Source organism: Homo sapiens, chromosome 17 (assembly GCF_000001405.40).
Source record: "Homo sapiens chromosome 17, GRCh38.p14 Primary Assembly".
NCBI classification, from domain to species: Eukaryota; Metazoa; Chordata; class Mammalia; order Primates; family Hominidae; genus Homo; species Homo sapiens.
Window position 1 is genome coordinate 10308843 of NC_000017.11, and position 21996 is coordinate 10330838.

Sequence of the window (21996 nt, forward strand, 5' to 3'; positions counted from 1 at the left end):
CCCAAAGTGCTGGGATTATAGGTGTGGCGCTGAGCCGGGTCAAAAATAATTATTTTGAAATAAAATCTTAATATTCTAAGGTTTCCACTTAAATAGTACTTCCAGGTGCCTTACGTAATAATTAATCCTTCGTTGCTCTGATTTCCCCACAACGTGCAAGATGTTTAATGTTTGGATGAGAGAAAGCTCAGAAATCTGTCAATCAAGAGTCAGTTATTCCAAGAAGCAAGCTTAAAAGAAAATTTGTCTTGACCACTAGTCTGGGAGAAACCGGGTGCTCCTTCCCACGGCGTGGGCCCTGAGTGGAGGGATAGCGGAAGCAGCTGCACGGTGCAGGAGGCGCTATCTGCCCCAGGGTGGACCTTCAGCGGAGGAGTGAGGGCCGACGCACCTGGGAGTGCAGGAGCTGCACGCGGTCGCTGGCGTCCAGCAGCTCCTGCTCTGACAGCCTGCGGGTCCGCTCCGTCTGTTCCAGGGCCACCTTCATTTCCTCCAGCTCCTCCAGCAGGAGGCCATTCCTGCGCTCCACGATGGCCAGCTGCTCCTTGAGGTCCTCATTGCTCCTCAGGGCGTCATCGAGATGCAGCTGGGAGTCCTGCAGGGGAGACCCAGAGTGAGGCCAGAGCCGCCTGGCAGGCTGGGGCCCGTCCAGGTACGCAGAGGCGGCCACCGTGCTCACCTTGAGCTGGCCCTGGACCGTGCGCAGATGCTTCTGGGTCTCTGCCATCTGGCGGTTGGAGTGGCCCAGCTGAATCTCCATCTCATTAAGGTCTCCCTCCATCTTCTTCTTTAGCCTCAGGGCGTCGTTCCGGCTGCGGATTTCAGCATCCAGCACGCTCTGCAGGGCCTCTGCTGCCCGCTGGCTGTTTCTTTTTAGCTGCTCGATTTCTTCATCCTTCTCAATGACCTTGCGGTCTAGCTCGGATTTCACCTGGCTCAGCTCTAGCTGCACGCGCAAGATCTTGCTCTCCTCGTGTTCCAAGGAACCCTGACGAAAGCAAAGGAGTGATTGAGAGTGCCGTGGACATCCACCTTCATGAATGGGTATTTTCATCCCCATACGATCAAATGGGTATGCGTTTTTTTAAAAAAATTAAATTTAAATTTTTTTTTTTTTTTGGTAGAGACAGGGTCTGTGTTGCCCAGGCTGGTCCTGAACTCCTGGGCTCCAGTGATCCTCTCTCCTTGGCCTCCTAAAGTGTTGGGATTACAGGTGTGAGCCATGGTGCCCAGAGCCCAAATAGGTTTTGTGTTTTTTTTTTTTTTTGGACAGAGTCTCATTCTGTTGCCCAGGCTGGAGTGCAGTGGCACAATCTCGGCTCAATGCAACCTCCACCCCCTGGGTTCAAGCGATTCTCCTGCCTCAGCCTCCCGAGTAGTTGGGATTACAGGTGCCCACCACTGTGCCTGGCTAATTTTCGTATTTTTGGTAAAGACAGGGTTTCACCATGTTGCCTAGGCTGGTCTCGAACTCCTGACCTTCCAGGTGATCTGCCTGCCTCGGCCTCCCAAAGTACTAGGATTACAGTTGTGAGCCACCATGCCCGGCTGCAAATAGGTATTCTTATACCCATTTTATAGATGAAGAGAACAATATTCAGAGAGGTCTGAGTATTTGGCTTGCTCCCAAATATCCCTAATAGTGATGAAACTGGGACTAAAACTTTGCATCGCTCATGAACAAATTATTTTATGACTTGAGATAGAGTATCTTTCTTAATTAGTGAAAATTTTATTGAGGGTATCTATTATAATAGTGACCATAAATCAGGAGTCAACCTATTCTCTAAAATGACAGGGCAACTGCTCTCCTGTTATCCTGTGTCGGTTCGTATTTCCCTAGAAACCACCAGCCATCCTGACCACCACCGATTACTGCATCGGGAGATGCTGGGTGTGTTTGGATTATACAGGATTCTTGATAGCCAAAAATGATTGTCTGTGCCTCTATGTTAAACATAACTGAGAGATTCTGCGCTGCTCTCAGGATGTTAGGTGATTGATTTTCTGCTTCCTGAGAGGAAGACATTGAAGAACATAATGAACACATTTATTTATTTTCAAAGGGGAACTGTGCCAGAGAACGCCTAGGAGATAAAGTAGCAGCCCGTGGATGTTTCAGCCCCTGGGATGGCTGAATGTTACTCCCAATGGAGACTCAGGGTCTCCTGGCAGGAAAGGCCCCATGGGGTGGTGAAGGGCAGCCTCTTTCAGTTCCCTGTCCTCCTGAATTTCTGAATGTCATATCCTAGACACTTACCTCCACTTCTTCTAAGGCGACCTGCAGATCTGACTTTTCCTGCTCCACTAGCTTCTTGGTCTTTTCCGCTTCCTGAAGATTCTTGCCAGTTTCTGCAATCTGCTCAGTTAAGTCGGAAATCTCTTCTGCAAAGGACAGGCTTGATTTAGGCTGTTTCAACAGGCTCCAGTTTATAGTATAGGCATTTGCCAGGCAATTCAGGGATGGGCGATTCATTCATGACATTTATACAGGAGAGAATACAGGGCAGCCGTTCAGATGAGGTGTTGGCAAGACAGGGATGTGTTGCCTCACCTGCACTAGGCAGACAGGAACCACAAGTAAAGAATAGAAACTTAAAACTTCAAAAGTACCATATACAAAACGGTCATAGAGAAGACCAGAGAAAACAACTGTGGGGAAAACGCATAGAATCATAGTCTGCAGAACCAGAAGGGGCTTTGGAAAGTGTTGGGTGTGGTCTTCTGATTTTGTAGATCAGAAATCTGAGGTCCTAAGGGATTCAGTGGCATGTGCAAGAATACAAAGCCACCTAGAGACAGAATCACTGAAGGGTCTTCTCTAACGGAGCAGTGGGCTCAGCAACCCACTGTTCCTTCAGTTCTCAAAAATGAGACTTAGCTGCTGCCGTGCCTTACATTAAAAAGGTCTGGGCCTTGGGGCAAACTGAGTCAATGTGAGGCATGATGGGTGAGGATCGTGTGGGGCAGTGGGAAGGAGGTGTCTGGAGATGGCTGTGGCCAAATGGGGAAGGGGTTGGCAGGAGGAGAGGGGGACATAGCACACACCAGTGGTGGAGACAGCTCACCTTGCAGATTTTTGTTCTCTCGCCTCAGTGTCTCTAACTGGTCCACCACCTCCTCATAGGCATTCCTCATCTTGAAGAGTTCAGTGCTGAGTGACCTGGACTCCTTCTGAGCAGCTTCCAACTCAGCCTGGCTTTCGTCCAGCTTTTGCTTCCACTCTGCAAGGACCTGGGAGATGACAAAGGGACATGGGAGAAGCAGAAAGCAGGGGTGACTCAGAAGAGTTCATGCAAACAAGGGCTGTCAGTAACACCAACGTTTTGCCCTTCCATCCTTAGGGACTGAAGAAGGAGGAGGAGCACTGTTCTAGATCAGGGACCCCAAACTGTGATATCCCTGCAGACCCTCTGCTGCATTCTCACAGACATTATAATCTCAGTGGAACGGAATTAGCTTTCACTAAAAATAAAATTGCCTTTGGAGGGACTGTCACAGTAGTCAAGAAGACACCTCAAGTCCCTGAAACTGGGAAATGATGCTCCAACTGGGGGCCTTCTAGGATGTGCAGGTATCTCACACATCTAAGCGTGAAACTGTTGTTTTCACCACTGCCACTGCAAAACATTTGTCCCTTTTCCAAATTCAGGTATTTTCATGTAAATAGCATTTCCCCAACTTGAATTATCCTCATGCCATCTTCACAAAGAAAGCGGCTGGGGAAGGACCTTGTCGAAGTTCCTCTGCTTCTTGTCCAGTGTGGCACAGGCGGTGTGGGAGCGCTCCAGATCCCGCATCAGATCCTCCACCTCTCCCTGCAGCCTCTGCTTGGTTTTCTCCAACGATGCGCACTTGGAGTTCGCCGTCTCCGTGTTCTCCTCTGCTTCCTGGAGCCTCTGGGCCAGTTTTTTCCTACGAAAACCAGATTTTTTTTTTCCCCTTCGCAAAGGTGGAATATTTCAGTAGGTAACTGTCAGATGGGAAGAGAAATGAATAGCGTGGAAGGGACTGGTGTTTGATGAGACCAAGACCTAGGATTTGGTGAGTGGGGAGGATCCAAGTGTCACCGAGAGATTCTCAAAATGCTTGGTGGCAAAGCAGGTCCCTAAGGAGCACCTCCAGGGAGCTAGGTGGAATGGACAGTTCCCGAGAAGAAGGACAGGGAGACCCCCAGAGGGTGGGGGGTACAATCCGAGTGTTTCAGAAACCACAAAGGCGTGGGCAGGAAAGAATCTCTCAAGATATGAAGACTCCTGGTCCCTTGGCTTGTGTCCTCGGGCCCCCTCTGCTATTGCCACCCTGGAGCCCCTACTTGGCCTCCTCCAGCTCCTCTGTGCGCTGAATGGCGTCCGTCTCGTATTTGGTCCTCCACTGGGCAACCTCACTGTTGGCCTTGGACAGCGCCCTCTGCAGCTCGGCCTTGGCTTCCTGCTCCTCCTCATACTGTTCCCGCAGCAGGTCACAGTCGTGGCGGGAGGACTGCAGGGCGTGCGCCATGGCGTTCTTGGCCTGGGAATGACAGCGGTGACAAATTGCAAAAACATTTGACCCTTTTCCAAGTTCAGGTATTTTCATTTAAATCGCTTTCCCCCAACTTGAATTATCCCTATGCTGTCTTCACCAATTTTGCCATATCAGCATATCACCTGGTTTATTTAATTTTTTTTCAAGTGGACTCCTTAATTATATTTAAATATATTTAACAAAAGAGTAAACTGTCACAGGAAAGTAAGTGGAAAACCATTGACATTTGCCATAAACAGAAGGTAACCATAAGTGCAATGGAAATAAAGCAATGTTATCATGTCTAGCTAGGTACTGTTGCCTGCTGGGACTCCATGCCTGGGGTCTACCCTCTATTTCTTAATAGGGTAAATAAGCAAATGCTAAGGAAGTGTGGTTCACACTGAGGCCTTTTCCTTGATATAATCAGAAGGATTGGAACAATTAAAAAGGGAATAATTTTCTCACTACTTGATGCAATGGTATGGAATGCTGTGACCAGGAGAAGCCTGAAAGCATCTTTTGATGTCACCACTGGGCTATGTCCCCACACTGGGGATTGCTGATGTGAGCTTCGCTGTTTCCACGGCTGGACTTCCTCCTCCTAGGCAGAGAAGACATGCCTAGAGGCCTCCATCCCTCACTCCCTCCCATTGGAGGGATGTAAGGGCAACAGTTTAGCTCCGACTATAATGGCCACAAGACGCCCTCTGGTGCCACCATCAAAGAGAGAGTTCTGTCAGCCCACTTCAGTAATTTGTACATTTTCATCTTTTTAAAAATGCAATAGACCAAGCGTGGTGGCTCATGCCTGTAATCCTAGCAGTTTGGGAGGCCGAGATGGGCGGATCACCTGAGGCCAGGAGTTTGAGACCAGCCTGATCAACATGGAGAAACCCTGTCACTACTAAAAATACAAAACCGGGCATGGTGGCACATGCACGTAATCCCAGCTACTTGGGAGGCTGAGGCAGGAGAATCACTTGAACCCAGGAGGCAGAGGTTGTGGTGAGCCAAGATCGAGCCATTGCACTCCAGCCTGGGCAACAAGAGTGAAACTCCATCTCAAAAAAAAAAAAAAAGGCAATAAATGACACACTTTGCCTAAGAAGGAAAACTCAGCTGTTGCTGTATTCTTGCCAAAGGACAGCCCGCTCCTGCAGTGGCTCTTCTCAGTACTTGTTCAGGCTTGGGTTCTCACCACTTCCCCTTTCCCCTCATCTACCAAAGATCTTTACCATACAACAGAAAGATGGGAGACAAATATGGCGCTTGTCCTTTTTCAGAAGAAAAAGGTGGAGCTTGGGAAAATTCCAAAAGATTGCCCTATAAGTCTTAGCCAGCGTACAGCAACCTCGGAATTCCATTCATGCAGTTTTTTGGACTCTTAGTCCCCTATTCTGATACTTGAATATGAATTGGCAGCACCAAGTACCTACTGTGTGCACTGTTCTGCTAGGCACAGTAGGTACAGTGGGGACAAACTATTCTTGCCCTCCATGAGTTTATAGATCTGTGGGGAGACATGTATTATAAACACAATATCTAGACATTGAAATCAAGAAGGTGATGATGTTCATGTTTATGCGACTGTCTCAAGGGTGCTCCCAAAACCATGGAGCCTTCTTGGAGGAGGGGAGCTTAAAATCAGGTGGTATAGGAGGTGACACATCAGGAATAATGAAGAAGAAAGAGGAGGGGGATTTCAGGTGGCCAGGATGAATTGCTGGGCAGAATGATCAAGTGTGTGCAGTGATGGGGAGGAGGTGCCCTGGCTGGAAAGGGGAGTTTCTCAGACCACCCTGCGGGGGACAGAGGAGGCCAGGGGATGGACCACCATAGGTACGGTTTTCTATTCCTGAAGAAGGAGATCCAGTGCCAAGGTCCTCTAACCTTAAAGGACAGGTTCCCACCATGCTGCAAGGCAGACAGGAGAAGCAACAGGTTTCTTTCTTTCTTTCTTTAATGGAGTCTCGCTCTGTCTTCCAGGCTGGAGTGCAGTGGCGTGATCTCAGCTCACTGCCACCTCCGCCCCCTGGGTTCAAGGAATTGTCTGCCTCAGCCTCCCGAGTAGCTGGGATTACGGGCACCTGCCAGTACACCCAGCTAATTTTTTTTTGTATTTTTAGTGGAGACGGGGTTTCGCCATCTTGGCCAGGCTGGTCTTGAACTCCTGATCTCGTGATCCATCTGCCTTGGCCTCCCAAAGTGCTGGGATTACAGGTGTGAGTCACCGTGCCCAGCTGCAGCAGATTTCTTGATGTAGCACTGCTCTGACCAGCTTCACGGGTGAAGTGGTCATATAGCCTGGCTTCTCAGGTTCAATCTGACTCTATATCTTTACCTTGGTTTCTTCTTCCATTTGCCTCTTAAGCTCCTCCAGCTGCTGGGTGAGGGCCTGCTTGCTTTTGGTCAGCTGTGAAATCAGAGACTCCTTCTCTTCCACTCGGTGGCTCAGCTCCCCTACCAAACAGATGTGGCCCCCACGTCAGTGTTACTGACCACCCTCTCCCATGGCCCGGCTGGACCCAGAGCCCTGCCCATTCTCACCATTTTGGGTCTGCAGTCTTGCTTTCTGCATGTTCAGATCATGGATCAACTGTGTCTGTTGCTCGTCCTTGGCTTTGATTTCACTAAATTGATCTTCTACCGTCCGGCACGTTCTTTCTATGTTACTCTTTAACAAACAGAAAGTCAACACGAATGGGAAGAAATGGATTCCTAGTGCCCAGCATTGAACTGAACAGTGTAATCATTTAGTTTCTTGTCAGGTAAAATAAAAATAAAAGTACAGAACAAAAAAAAGTTCAGTTTCAAAAAAATCATAATCGGCCAGGCGCAGTGGCTCACGCCTATAATCCCAGCACTTTGGGAGGCCGAGGAGGGTGGATCACCTGAGGTCAGGAGTTTGAGACTAGCCTGACCAACATGGTGAAACCTTATCTCTACTAAAAATACAGAAATTAGCCAGGCGTGGTGGTGCATGCCTGTAATCCCAGCTACTCGGGAGGCTGAGGCAGGAGAATCGCTTGAACTCGGGAGGCGGAGGTTGCAGTGAGCCGAGATCATGCCATTGCACTCTAGCCTTGGCGGCAAGAGTGAAACTCCGTCTCAAAAAAAAAAATCATAATTATTTCAGATTTGTGAATGCAGCTCAATCACCAATCACTTGGAACATCAGGTAGATAAGTATTTAATGATTTGTAAACAACCCTTTGAGAAGATGTCACTTTTAAGTGGATCTTTGGGATCCTCTTGTAATATAAGTGATTCGTGAATAATTGCAAGCAATACAAGCCTGTGAATATTTGCAAGCAATATATTCAGATGACAGTGTTAAGCATTTCATTCAATAACACAGAAGGTTCCCCATGGTGCAGGCCGTATGAAGAGATTCACCTCTCTGGCTTCCAGTTGGCCTGTATTTTTGTGAAGTTTGTTCAAAACCCTTGTGTGTGTTGACCTTTCTCTCCTCCTGCTGCTCCATAAAATAGAAAATAAAATGTATAGAGCATATGTTTTTCTTTAGAATGGTAAGTATGAGATGGCAGTGGAGGAAGCAGGGACACTAATTCCACGGGCGTCCTGGAGGAGCTTAGGATCTCTTTGAGAAGATGACACGCAAACATGAAGGAATCAAAGCAGGGAGAGTTGAAACGCGATGGCAGCTTGCAAGGAGAATCGTCAAAGGGGACAACTGAAAAAGCGTTAAGAGACATGACGTGCTGCTTCCCCTGGATGTTAAAATTGAGAACAGAGAGCAGCACACGGCAATTCTGGAGATAGGGAGGCTGGAGTGGGGGCTGTTTATAGGCATAGTGTATGGGGGATGCTGGAGGCCCTTCCTACCCAGCTACCCCTGCAGGCTGGCCTGGCTCGCCGAGAGAGAGGTGTGGGAGGGGAACATTTACAGAACCAAGTTCTTAGAGGAAGAAAGAAAACCAAGGGAAAAAGGGCAAACACATGGGAAAGCAGGAAAGAAAGAGAAAAGGAGTCATCAGCCGGAGCCAGAGGCTGCAGTCGCGGAGTGAAGAAGCAATCAAGGAGGCACAGGGCTGCGTGGACGCAGACCCTAAACACTGGCAGCAGGGGGCGCTGGAGAGACCACTCTAGTTCTCTGATTCATATCTCCCTTCCTTTTCTGGACAGATGCCCTGACCTTCCGGGAAACCCTCGGTGAGAGGCCCACAGCCTCGCTTCTAGGGTCACCACTGCTTCTTCCAGTCTAGCCAAACAGCTCCTAGTACAGCTCAGAGCACCCTGCAAGGAGGGCACGTGTTAAATCGAGGAGCACACATGCTCCACGAGGAATTCTTTGCTTTGAGGCCATGCACAGAGGTGGGTTCACTATGAAGCTTGTGAAATAAGCTTCAGGGCCCGCATTTGCATGGGCCACAGAGAGTCTGGGAGCTGCAGAAGGTTCAAGGGAAGAGGAGCCATCACAAGCAGAATATTCTAGAAGGCATTTCTGGCAAATGGCCCAAAGAGGCCTCAGGAGAAAAGAACTTGAGTCTTCAAGGTAACCTGCGACTTTTTTGTCTCATTTTAAATATCAACTTTCATGCCTAATTTTTATAAGTTTGTATACTTTTTTCTTAAAGAGCCCCAATCGGCCAGGCACAGTGGCTCATGCCTGTAATCCCAGCACTTTGGGAGGCTGAGGTGGGTGGATCACCTGAGGCCAGGAGTTCAAGACCAGCCTGGCCAACATGGTGAAACCCCAACTCTACCAAAAATACAAAAATTAGCCAGGCCTGGTGGCGTGTGCCTGTAATCCCAGCTACTTGGGAGGCTGAGGCAGGAGAATTGCTTGAACCTGGGAGGTAGAGGTTGCAGTGAGCTGAGATGGCGCCACTGCAATCCAGCCTGGGGAACAAGAGCGAAACAGTGGTGCCAGATCATCCAATTGTGCTTGAATCAAGTGATCTTGATGCTTTGGTCTGAAAGTTTGTGTCCCCCCAAAATTCATAATTTCCAGTCCAGTGGTGTTGGGGGGTGGGGCTTTTGGGAGGTGATAAGGTCGTGGGGGTGGAGCCCTTATGAATGGGATTAGTGTTCTTATAATAGAGGCCTGAGAGAACTTGTTCACCCCTTCTACCACATGAGGATGCAATGAGAAGGCACCATCTGTGAGGAACAGGCCTCCGACAGACACCGAATTTGCTGGCACTTTGATCTTGGACTTCCCAGCCTCCAAAATTGTGAGTGATAAATTTCTGTTGTTTATAAATTACCCAGTCTAAAATATTTTGTTACAGAAGCACAAATGGATAAGACAAAGGACGTGAGTAAATTTGAGGAACTAGAAACAGGCAGAAATAGGGAAGAGGGTTTCAGTGTAGAACATGCAGTGGTTTGGAGGCATCAAATTACACGTGCCCAGGGGCAGGTGGCCGTCGGCTGCCTTGCATTCTCCAAGAGCAGAAGGGCCAGTCAGGTACCTTTGACTTGGAGAGAGCCTCGATGTTGCTGGCCATGTCGTCAATCTCCATCTTCAGCTCGCTCTTCTCCTTCTCCAGCTTCTGCTTCACCCGCTGCAGGTTGTCAATCTGCTCCCCAAGCTCGGCCACACTATCTGCTTGCTTCTTCCTCAGGGTGGCTGCTGTGGCTTCGTGCTGCAGGGTGGCCTCCTCCAGGTCCCTGCGCATTTTCTGGAACTCAGCCTCCCTCTTCTTGTTCATCTCAATCTGGGCTGAAGTGGCCCCACTGGCTTCTTCCAGCCTCTCGCTGATCTCCTCCAGTTCCCTGGCCAGATCTGAGCGCTGCTTCTCAATCTTGGCTCTGAGCGTGTGTTCCGCTTCAATTTCCTCCTCCAGCTCTTCTATGCGGGCCTGAAAGGATTACTCTATCAGGAATGTTATTGTGGAGGAGGGGGCAGCCCCCTTTGAGAGGGGCTGGGTGTTGAGGAATTGCGGGTAGGCAGCATGAGGTGGGTGGGTCATTTGAGGTCAGGAGTTTGAAACCAGCCTGGCCAACATGGTGAAACTCCGCCTCTACTAAAAATACAAAAATTAGCCGGGTGTGGTGGCGGGCGCCTGTAGTCCCAGCTACTCGGGAGGCCGAGGCAGGAGAATAGCTTGAACCTGGGAGGTGGAGGTTGCAGTGAGCTGAGATTGTGCCACTGTGCTCCAGCCTGGGTGACAGAGCAAGACTCGGTCTCAAAAAAAAAAAAGAAGAATACATTATAACATTAAATTGGTGAAAAAACTTGGAAACAACCTAAGTGTCCATGGATAAGAGAATGCACAAATCGATTGTGATGGAGACTTGTTCTAGAAGTCTATGGAGCAGGTAGACACAAATCCACGTCTATCATGGATAGCTCTGCAGATCATGTTGCCAAAAGAAAGGAGCAAATTGCAGAGTGATACTCTCAGTGTGATATGCTAAGAATATGAAGAAACAAGAACCTTTTCTGCATGTGTACTATATATTTTTTGGGGAGTCTTAAATGTGTACAAAAACACATAGCAAAAGAGGCAGAAAGATGCACATCCCAGTGAAATTGGCAATTAATTCTCAGAAGACGGGGAGGGCACTGGGCTTAGGGATGGCGATCAAAGCACCCTTAACAATAATATTTAGCTTTACTGGGCCTATTTTGAGCCTTTGCAAGGAAGTATGTTTATGGGTTATTCAGAACATTAAAATATTATTTTCAAAAACTAAAGGAAATGACAGGACATCTTCTCTAGCTTTAGCAGGAGGAAGGAAAGAAGCAGCTAAAGAAACAAGGGGGAAGGAGTGAGGAGGGGCGCTCTTGCAAAGGGATTGTCATGATTGGGAAGGTTTTGATGCTTTTACTTGCAGTTCTTTAATCTTCTTTTGAAACTGCAAACTGTGGACTTGTTCGTCATCTATTTTGGCTTGTAACTGACTGAGTTCAAACTCCTTCCTGCAAATAGATTAAAAAAAAATAAAGAACATGAAATACAAGCCTCTTGGAGGGGGTGAAAGTTGGCTTTTAGGCTGAGACACAGAGGTGGTAAAAGAAATATCTACTTTTTCAATTTCTCTTCTATTTGCTGCTTGTCATTTTCTAGATCCATAATGGATTCCTGGGACATTTTCAGATCTCCTTCCAGCTTCCTCTTCGCCCTTTCCAAGTCCGCCCGCAGTTTCTTCTCCTGCTCTAAGGAACCCTCAAGCTGAGAAGACACACAGGTAGAAAATTAAGCCCCTGCTGGGGAAGTGTTTGCCCCGTTTATCCAGTGTAGCCATACACGTGGCCTGGGGCTTCCTGGGGCTCCTGTAGGGTGCTGGCTGCAAGCCTCTGGCCCCAGGAGGAAGCAAGTCTTGCCCCTACCTCCCCTCTCTTCTGTCTTCCAGAAAAGACTACCCAGGGTGGGGCTGGATCCCTCAGGGGCCTCCTGGTGCCTCTCTCAGCTGATTCCCACCTGGCCTGGCCCAGACTATGTTCCCTGTAGGGGTATGGTACCCATGGGTGCACACTCTTGCACAGACAATACAAATGGGGGCTTCTGTGGACAGCACTGTGAAGGTCTGTGCTACACACCATCACGCCTTGCCTGCTAACATTATGCAACCATGGGAGGCAAGGAATTCGTGTGTGTGTATGTGTGTGCACATACACACATGCATACATAGGAACAGGAAAAGGGTGTAGAGGAGGAGCACACCTACCCTGGGCTCAGAAACATTAAAGTTATCTAGAAAATCTCTAGCCACAATAGTGAGTAAAACCTGAAAACTTCAAACGTGGCTCTTACATCAAGAACAATAATGTCATGTGACGGGGGCAGAAATAGTAATTTTCATGGCCACAAATGGAACTCATCTTTAGTAACGTTACAACAGGATTGGAGGTTTTGGAACCCAAAGGACCTACAAGTGGATGCTAATAATAATGATGATGGTGATGATAGCAATAGTAGCAGCTATGTTTTACTGAACACTTTCTGTGTGCTGAGCTTTCTGTGAAAACCCTCTGAGATGGAGCTATTTACATCGCCATTTCACAAGGCACAAACTGAGGCTTTGCAAGGGTAAGCAGCTTGCTCAGTATCCCAGACTCCTTCAGGGTCAGGGTGGGGCTGAGATCTGAATTTAGGGATGCTGATTCCAGAGTCTGACCTCTCAAGCCCTGTGTCCTAGTTAGACTGTCTCTTGTCTGTGCTTCCACAAGTGATAAATGCTAAAGCATAGTAGTAAAATATCCTCACATCATCTGTTTGCTGTTCAAGCTTGGCATTTATTTTGATTAGACCATTGACTTTATCTTCTTCCACCTGAAGATCATCCAGTGTTTGCTGATGGGCCTCCTGTAGAGATTTCTTTTCTTTGGTCAATTTGGAAATGTTTTCTTCAAGTGCTGTCATTTCTTCGGAAAGATTCTTTACCTGGGACAATATTAACACCGATTTAATATGGAAACGATTATGCCAGAAGCTTCCATCAACAAAAGCTATTGCTTCTTTGCTCATTTTTCCTTTTTCCCTTTTCTTTTTGGCTACTACTTTTTTACCTCCTAGAATTGACAGACTCTCAGTTCTTTATCTTCCTTAACGGTCTATCATGGTGCCTCAAATTCTCCCATTAGGATTATTCATTTAAGGAGGGCATTATATTTTACAAGGAAGGGCGCTTTTAAAATGCAAATGTGCTACCTCTGAAGGGTAAAACATCAATCTATATTCGCTCATAATATGTCTGTGGAAATGTGTTTGTTAGGTTGGCTGAATAGGGTTTAGAATGAGGCAGGAAGGGGAGGAGAGGCGTGAGGTCCTACGCAAGAAAATTCACGCCGGGCGCGGTGGCTCACGCCTGTAATCCCAGCACTTTGGGAGGCCGAGGCGGACGGATCATGAGGTCAGGAGATCGAGACCATCCTGACTAACATCGTGAAACCTCGTCTCTACTAAAAATACAAAAAAAAAAAATTAGCCAGGCATGGTGGTGGGCACCTGTAGTCCCAGCTACTCAGGAGGCTGAAACAGGAGAATCGCTTGAAAACAGGAGGCAGAGGTTGCAGTGAGCTGAGATTGCACCACTGCACTCTAGCCTGGTGACAGAGCGAGACTCCGTCTCAAAAATAAAGACAGAAAGAAAGAAAGAAAATTCAGAACGGGAGTGCTGTGTTATCAGGAAGCAGGAGGAGGGCACCCAACACGGAACTTGAAGGAAGTAAGTGAAACCTTTTTCCACATCCAACAGGCTTCCAGATCAGAAGTTGCTAACTCCTAATCTATGGGCTGAATCTGGCCATATTTTCTTTAGTCCACATAGTGGTTTACAATGTTATCATTTACAATGTTACAGTTGTTTTTTTTTTTTTTTTTTTTTGAGAGGGAGTCTCACTCTGTCGCCCAGGCTGGAGTGCAGTGGCGCAGTCTCAGCTCACTGCAAGCTCCGCCTCCCGGGTTCACGCCATTCTCCGGCCTCAGCCTCCTGAGTAGCTGGGACTACAGGCGTCCGCCACCACGCCCGGCTAATTTTTTGTATTTTTAGTAGAGACGGGGTTTCACCATGTTAGCCAGGATGGTCTCGATCTCCTGACCTCGTGGTCTGCCCACCTTGGCCTCCCAAAGTGCTGGGATTACAGGCATAAGCCACCGCACCTGGCCCTATATTTCATTTTCTTACATTTTTCCACCGTTTAGCAGTAGGTATTTAATATTTGGTGTGCACACGCCATTGCTCCTAATGGCTACGTAGTGCTCCCTGCTGTGTTATCTACTACATTTTAGTTCTCCGTTTTCCCCGTGGTGGACCCTGGCACTGCCTCCAGCTGTCTCCCGCAAGCAATGCCACTACAAACACCCTAGGACATGTCGCCTTATGGACAGGTGGAAGAATTCCTTGATCTATACACCCAGGAGCAGAATTGCTGGGTCGTAGGGTATCTGGATTCTTAATTTGACTGAGTAATTCCAAATAACTTTCCCAAAGGCTGCATCAGTCTCTGTCCTGCCGGTACCCGCTCCTCTCAGTCAATCCTTGGTGTTATCCAGTCTTCTGCCTCCTTCACTATCTGCCTGACCCCTGTAGGCCTTCTTGTTTGCAATCCCTGTGCTTGGTGCTATGGGAACTGAAGAAGAATATGAAACAGTCCTTCCTCTCAAAGAAATGCTAGAAGTTTGTGATACAGCCAGGGAGGGTTGAGAAGAGCCTATGGGGCCGGGCTCACACCTGTAATCCAAGCACTTTGAGAGGCCGAGGTGGGTGGATCACCTGAGGTAAGGAGTTCGAGACCAGCTTGGCCAACATGGTGAAACTCCGTCTCTACTAAAAATACAAAAAATTAGCTGGGCATGGTGGTGTGTGCCTGTAATCCCAGCTACTTGGGAGGCTGAGGCAGGAGAATTGCTTGAACCTGGGAGGCGGAGGTTGCAGTGAGCTGAGATGGCACCACTGTAGCGAGATCTGCCTGGGCAACAGAGCAAGACTCCATCTCACAAAAAAAAAAAAAAAAAAAAAAAAAGAAGAAGAAGAAGAAGAAGAAGAAGAAGAAGAAGAAGAAGAAGAGTCTATGGGTAGAAAAGACACCAGAGGACAGAACTTGTTGGGACTTAACTACCCTTCACCTTGACGCCAGCCTCTCATTTCTGGGCAATGTTATATTGACTGGACTCCTACGCCACCCTTTCTCCTCCTTACAGAGAGAGAGAGTGAAGCCTGTTAAGACACTGTGGGAGTCCCTTGGGTTTGCTCACCTTGTTCTCTGTGGCATGCTTCTCCTTTTCAACTTTCGTCAAGGTCAGCTCCAGGTCATCAATGTCTCTCTTGAGAGAGGAGCATTTATCTTCCAGATTCCTCTTCTTGGCAACCAATTCAGAATTCATCTCCTCTTCCTCTTCCAATCTCTCCGTCAGCTCCTTGACTTTTGCTTCCAGTAGGATCTTGCTTTTGATGAGTCCTTCACACCGTTCCTCAGCGTCCATCAGATTTTCTGTTTCCTGAAAGAACCAGGTCATTTTATGTTTTGATTGGCCTCTTTGAAAATGCTACAAAGAAAGGGTATCACCCTCTAAAAGCTTATTATCTACACCTAAGCCAAGAAATGGGTCATGCACACACATGCACGCACATGTGCACACACTGCACACACACGTGTACATAAACTTAGATATCACCCATAAACACATTTTTTCTTTTTAGATGGAGTTTCTCTCTGTGGCCCAGGCTGGAGTGTAGCGGCATGATCTTTGCTCACTGCAACCTCTGCCTCCCAGGTTCTAGCGATTCCCTGCCTCAGCCTCCCGAGTTGCTGGGATTACAGGCATGTGCTACCATGCCTGGCTAATCTTTGTATTTTTTTGTAGAGATGGGATTTCACCATGTTGGCCAGGCTGGTCTCCAAACGCCTGACCTCAGGTGATCCTTCCGCCTCGGCCTCCCAAAGTGCTGGGATTACAGGCATGAGTCACTGCACCTGGTCCATATACATGTTTTTTTTTTTTTTTTTTTTTTTTAACTAGCAAGAACATTGCTTATAGAAATTTGCATATAATAATTTGTTCATTTATTTCTTTAGAGACAAGGGCTTGCTCTGTTGCCCAAGCTAAAGTGCAGTGGTGTGAGTGTAGCCCACTGCATCCTCACACTCCTGTGCTCAAGTGATCCTCCCACCTCAGCCTCCCAAGTAGCTGGAACTACAAGGTATGTGCCACCATGACTGGCTTCTTTTTTGGTGTGTGTACAGATGGGGCCTCCATGTGTTTCCCAGCTTGTCTCAAACTTTGAGCCTCAAGTGATCCTCCTGCCTCAGCCTCCCAAAGTGCTGGGACTACAAGTGTGAGCCACCATGCCTGGCCTCACTTATAATAATTTCAAACAGAGGAGTTTGTGAAATTACAAGTTCATTTTAAAGAATGAAGCCTCTAGAAATTTGCCACATTTGAACAGCTGGTTATCTCACTCTTCCTGCTACCACCAGTTGGAAAATGACTCATCTACTCTATGTTATCTCAAGCTGACAAAATAGTTTCAAAACATTACTATCTTTTAACTTTCATTAAATTTATTTTTAAATATATGGATTTATTTATTTTCTAGAGATAAGGTATCACTATGTTGCCCAGGCTGGTCTCGAGCTTCTGAGCTCAAGTGATCCTCCTGCCTTGGCTTCTAAAAGTGTTGGGATTATAGGCATGAGCCACCAGGCCTGGTCCTTTCAACAGAAAAGTTCTACCTATGTCTCCTTAGCTGTGTCTCCTCGAACCACAGAACAGAAAATTAAAAACACCCAAGAATTCGTGATTGAATACATATGTCCCAGAAGATGCTGCAGTGAGTCTCTTGGACAGACCAAGATCAGCTACTTCTGTTCTAAATCGGGCTATATCTTCCCATATAAGAATATTTATTTATATATTTGTTTATTTATTGAGACGGAGTCTCACTCTGTTGCCAGGCTGGAGTGCAGTGGCGCGATCTCGGCTCACTGCAACCTCTGCCTCCTGGGTTCAAGTGATTCTCCTGCCTCAGCCTCCTGAGTAGCTGGGACTACAGGTGCCCACCACCATGCCCAGCTAATTTTTGTATTTTTAGAAGAGAGGGGGTTTCACCATGTTGGCCAGGATGGTTTCGATCTCTTGATCTCATGATCCGCCCGCCTCGGCCTCCCAAAGTGCTGGGATTACAGGCGTGAGCCACCACGCCCGGCCCATATAAGAGTATTTTAAGACACACACTGCAGGGTAATGCATGGGAGGAGACTGGCAAGCCTGCATGCTAATGTTTGCTGAACATCTATAAACATGAGCTGTGTGCCAGGCATTTTACAGGCATTAACCACTCTGATTTTTCAATAGCTGGATGAGGTGAGTACTCTGACTATGCCCATTTTACAGACGAGATAACAGAAGCACAAAGAGGATATGTAGCTCATCCAAGGTCACACAGCTATCAGGTGGAGCATCTGGGATAGAAACCCAGTTATCTTGTTCCAAGAGCTGTTCTCTTGTCCGCTGTACCTGGGAAAGTGCTCCTATTAACTCACTATAGTGATTGGGAAAGTGAAAAGGGGAGCGGAAAATGCTCTGTATAAAAACAAAAGGTAAAAGTATTTGGGGATTTATTAAAAAGGGAAAATTATAAATGCCTTCACTCTGTGAAAGAGACAATTATACTGCCCCATTTCTTTTCTTTTTCTTTCTTTCTTTCTTTTTTCTTTTTTTTTGAGACGGAGTCTTGCTCTGTTGCCAGGCTGGAGTGCAGTGGCACGATCTCGGCTCACTGCAACCTCCACCTCCTGGGTTCAAGTGATTCTCCTGCCTCAGCCTCCTGAGTAGCTGGCACTACCAGCGTGTGCCACCACACCTGGCTAATTTTTTTTTTTTTGTATTTTTAGTAGAGACGGAGTTTCACCATGTTAGCCAAGATGGCCTTAATCTCCTGACCTTGTGATCTGCCCGCCTCGGTCTCCCACAGTGCTGGGATTACAGGTGTGAGCCACCGCGTCCAGCCTATACTGCCCCATTTCTTTGATAAAACTATGTATCTTTAAAGCACTTTTTTTTTTTGAGATCGGGGTCTCACTGTGTTGCCCAGGCTGGAGTGCAGTGGCATGTTCTCAGCTCACTGCAACCTCGACTACCTGGGCTCAGGTGATTCTCCCACCTCAGCCTTCTGAGTATCTTGGACTAGAGACATGCACCACCATGCCTACTAGTTTTTTTTTTTTTTTTTTTTTTTTTTTTTTTTTTTTTTGAGACGGAGTCTCGCTCTGTCGCCCAGGCTGGAGTGCAGTGGCGCGATCTCAGCTCACTGCAAGCTCCGCCTCCCAGGTTCACGCCATTCTCCTGCCTCAGCCTCCCAAGTAGCTGGGACTACAGGCGCCCGCCACTACGCCCGGCTAATTTTTTGTATTTTTAGTAGAGACGGGGTTTCACCGTTTTAGCCGGGATGGTCTCGATCTCCTGACCTCGTGATCCTCCCGCCTCGGCCTCCCAAAGTGCTGGGATTACAGGCGTGAGCCACCGCGCCCGGCCGCCTGCTAGTTTTTAAAAATTTTTTTACAGAGATGGGGTTTTGCCATGATACCCAGGCTGGTCTTGAACTCCTGGGCTCAAGCGATCCTCCCACCTCAGCCTCCCAAAGTGTTGGGCTTACAGGCATGAGCTACCACGCCCGGCCTAAAGCACTTTTTACATATTATTGTAAATAATATATAGAAAATTACTCTTGCTACTTTGAATTGGGTTATTTAATTTTGATTATTTTTATTTTTATTGATTTTTAAAAGCTGTGGTGCATATACATATGACACATATATATCCCTCATGCCCACAGCAAAATATATCTAACTCTGCGATGACGGGGAGAAATCAGGGAGAGCACAAATTCTCTTTGCAGACATAATTTCCGGCATTCACTGCTTTGCTAAGCCCGGGACCAGGCATCCTTTTACGAGCAAGGTGGTGCTGCAATACTCCACATGACCACTGGGTGGCACCACTGTCTCTCGAATAGACACCTGATGGCGCCCTCAATGTTCCTCCCCCTTTTCTGTCCTCCAGAGTCTGTGTTTTGCGTTCTCAAGTAGAAGGTACTTACAGACTGGACCTGCAATTGGAGGTCATTCTTCTCCTGCAGGAGGGAGACCATTTTCTCCTCCAGCTCCTTCCGGCGAGCCTCAGATCGGGCCAGTTCTTCCTTGGTCCTCTCAAAGTCTTCCTTCATGGTGGCCATCTCCTTCTCGGCCTCTGCACTCTTCAGCAGGGGCTTGATTTTGAAGAACAGGTTCATCCAGGGCCAGTGCTTGACGTTCATAAAAGAGCGGATGTTGTACTGGATGCAGAAGATGGAGTCCCTGTACACCCATTAGGACTCAAATTAATAAATCCAGCAAGGTCTGGTCTCTGCACCCCCAACCTGTCCCCGACGGACCCCATCCTCCGTCTTTCTCGGTTAGGTGGGAAGGAGGTGCAGCCAAGCTTGGCAGATCCTCTGGATCCAGAGTAGGTCTGCAAATGAGGGGCAGAGGAAACAGAGGTACGTGCACAGGTTGGAAGGTAGGAGAGGGCGTGGAGCTACCTGCGGGCTCCTGGTCACCTGGCTGCCCTTCCCACCACCCTACTGAGAGTGCCCTGCCTGAGGGCGTCCGTGACCTCCTAATGCTCAATGCAAGGAATAGCTTTCATTCCTATTCTATTGGGTCTTTCTCCCATGTTTGATGTATTAATCAGCTCTTAACTTTTGAAACTTTCTCTGCCTTAAATTCCATCCACATTTTCCCTGTTTCACTGCATTTTGCCATATGGGGTTCCTCTTCCTGCTGGAGAAACCCAGGACTTGTCCTTGGTCATTTCCCAGTCTCTTGCCCTGGTAGAGTTGATCTGTCTTCCCAATTTCTTTCTTTTCTATTCGTTTTTTTTTTTTTTTTTGAGATGGAGTCTTGCTCTGTTGCCCAAGCTAGAGTGCAATGGTGCAATCTCGGCTCACTGCAACCTCCGCCTCCTAGGTTCAAGCAATTCTTCTGGCTCAGCCTCCCAAGTAGCTGGGATTACAGGTATGCGCCACCACGCCTGGCTAATTTTTGTATTTTTAGTAAAGACTGGGTTTCACCATGTTGGTCAGGCTGGTCTTGAACTCCTGACCTCAGGTGATCTGCCCGCCTTGGCCTCCCAAAGTGCTAGGGTTACAAGCGTGAGCCACCACAACCAGCCTGTATTCCTAATTTCTGCTGCTGTTTTCATCCCAGTGTCACCCACATGATCTCCTCCCCTTCACCCTCCACAGCTTTATATTTACATAGCTTATGGATTCCTGAACACTGGCTTCTCTTTCCCTTCTTGAGATTCTTTTCATCTCCGTGCTGGCTTCCATGTGCTTCACCAAGCTCGATGCCTGGGAGTGATTCCTGACGCATACATGGTGGCGGTTCATTATGGCTCTGACAGTTAGAGCCACACAGGGGATCAGGGAACCAGGGAGAACAGGCTCCCTCCCACACTCCCCTCTCCCTCCAATCCCTGCAGGTGACTAGTCATCAATGCTGCTATTCCTTCTCTTGAATTATCAAAGGAAAAAGACTTAAACATTCCTTTAATCCATGCCCTCCTCTCTCACCCATCAACTATGTCCTACTTCAGGTCCTTGTCATCCCTTACTTGGACTTCTACCACACTGTGGCCTTGCCCCGTCATAGCCTTTGTGTTCACTCTCCTAGCTGCCAGAGTGATGCAATCCTACCCCTTGTCTCTGCACACACCTTCTACAGCTCTCCATCAATGACAGGGTGCAGCCTGGGTTTCTGAATGTGACACATAGGGACCTCCACTACCTGCCTCTTGCTCTCTATTCCAATGACAGCCACCTGCTTGTCGGGCTTCCTCCCAGACCACCCACTCTCAGGTTGTGTAGAGCTTGCTTCAGAAAGTGCTTTCGTCAGCTGGGCGCAGTGGCTTACGCCTGTAATCCCAGCAATGTGGGAGGCCAAGGCGGGCGGATCACCTGAGGTCAGGAGTTCAAGACCAGCCTGGCCAACATGGTGAAACCCCATCTCTAAAACAAAACAAAACAAACAAACAAAAAACAAAATAGCCGGGCGTGGTGGTGCATGCCTGTAATCCCAGCTACTAGGGAGGCTGAGGCGGGAGAATCGCTTGAACCTGGAAGCTGGAGATTGCAGTGAGCCGAGATTGTGCCACTGCACTCCAGCCTGGATGACAGAGCAAGACTCTGTCTAAAAAAAAAAAAAAAGGAAAAAAGAAAGTGCTTTCTTCTTGCTGACACCTTCATGCCAACTCCAACCCCCTAATCAGGCTGGGGGCTTATTCTTGCCAGTTCCCTATCCCCCGACTATAACTCGAACATTGAGCTTGTCACAGGCATTAAAACCAGCCATACATGCGTCTGCTTCCCACTCCTTTGTGACCCTGTGAGGGAGGGTTCATTTCTGTCTCCCCAGCGCCATGCAGAGCACCCAGCCCAGGATTGCCGCTCAGTAGATGTGGGTTAAACAAATGAAGGAAAGAGAGCAAGCACATGGAAATCCCAAGACTAAAAGCAGGAAGTGACAATCAGCTGCTAAGCAGAGAGGGCAGGATAAGGTGGAGGTGAGGGTCTGTGTCACCTCCTCTCCATCATCTTCTTGAACTCCACCCGCATCAGGTACCCCCTGCACACCGCCTGCGTGCTTGTCATCAGCGTCACCAGCTTCTCATCTCTCATCTCCTCCAAAAGTCCCAGGAGCCCAGCTTTGAAAAACACCTGCATTAAAAGACAGAGGAGCCTTGATCTTTTTCCCCAGCAGGCGTTCAGCCGGGCCCTTGAGGGGGCCTGTTTCTGCTCAACTCTGAGGCTCAACTCTCAGAGCACGGCAGGGGCAGCAATTCTGTTTCCAGGACTTGCTTCTCGGTGGCTCTGGTCTCCTCAGTGGCTCCTCCTGGGCAGTGAGGCAGCCTGGTCCAGAGTCTGTTCCAAGCTGGTCATGGTGGCTCATGCCTGTAATCCCAGCTCTTTGGGAGGCCGAGGCAGGTGATCATTTGAGGTCAGGAGTTCGAGACCAGCCTGGCCAACATGGTG

The 21996-nt window shown here is 48.0% G+C and overlaps 1 protein-coding gene and 1 long non-coding RNA gene across 3 annotated transcripts in view, besides 2 other annotated features; one reads left to right on the forward strand and one right to left on the reverse strand.

The window, feature by feature from the left end:
- Positions 1 to 21996, forward strand: part of LOC107985004 (uncharacterized) — a 49640-nt gene that overhangs the window by 17024 nt on the left and 10620 nt on the right. The window contains exons 2-5 of one of the 2 annotated variants that reach the window (XR_001752791.3): positions 8656 to 9025; positions 9613 to 9707; positions 11550 to 11670; positions 16001 to 16499. This is a non-coding gene — a long non-coding RNA (uncharacterized LOC107985004). Of the gene's footprint in view, positions 1 to 8655; positions 9026 to 9612; positions 9708 to 11549; positions 11671 to 16000; positions 16500 to 21996 lie in introns of those variants that run through there. The other variant, XR_007065617.1, reaches the window with a different exon arrangement.
- The window catches only part of MYH13 (myosin heavy chain 13), a 72142-nt gene that overhangs the window by 7978 nt on the left and 42168 nt on the right, over positions 1 to 21996 (reverse strand). Inside the window, exons 21-35 of the mRNA NM_003802.3 lie at positions 21545 to 21681; positions 19024 to 19279; positions 15180 to 15422; positions 12690 to 12866; positions 11509 to 11654; positions 11311 to 11401; positions 9948 to 10337; positions 7057 to 7183; positions 6851 to 6969; positions 4316 to 4512; positions 3732 to 3915; positions 3069 to 3234; positions 2261 to 2385; positions 680 to 988; positions 392 to 595 (exon numbers count right to left, since the gene is read on the reverse strand). Of these exons, the coding sequence (NP_003793.2) occupies positions 392 to 595; positions 680 to 988; positions 2261 to 2385; positions 3069 to 3234; positions 3732 to 3915; positions 4316 to 4512; positions 6851 to 6969; positions 7057 to 7183; positions 9948 to 10337; positions 11311 to 11401; positions 11509 to 11654; positions 12690 to 12866; positions 15180 to 15422; positions 19024 to 19279; positions 21545 to 21681 (2871 nt within the window). The remainder of the gene's footprint in view (positions 1 to 391; positions 596 to 679; positions 989 to 2260; positions 2386 to 3068; positions 3235 to 3731; positions 3916 to 4315; positions 4513 to 6850; positions 6970 to 7056; positions 7184 to 9947; positions 10338 to 11310; positions 11402 to 11508; positions 11655 to 12689; positions 12867 to 15179; positions 15423 to 19023; positions 19280 to 21544; positions 21682 to 21996) is intronic.
- Positions 576 to 1090: an enhancer, noted in NCBI's record as "H3K4me1 hESC enhancer chr17:10212735-10213249 (GRCh37/hg19 assembly coordinates)". NCBI's record gives its function as "activates a minimal SCP1, AML or CMV promoter by ChIP-STARR-seq in primed H9 embryonic stem cells {active_cell/tissue: H9 hESC(primed)}" and the evidence as "EXISTENCE:reporter gene assay evidence [ECO:0000049][PMID:30033119]".
- Positions 19850 to 20068: a silencer, noted in NCBI's record as "fragment chr17:10232009-10232227 (GRCh37/hg19 assembly coordinates)". NCBI's record gives its function as "represses an EF-1alpha promoter that drives an FKBP-Casp9 reporter gene in an ReSE screen in K562 erythroleukemia cells {active_cell/tissue: K562}" and the evidence as "EXISTENCE:reporter gene assay evidence [ECO:0000049][PMID:32094911]".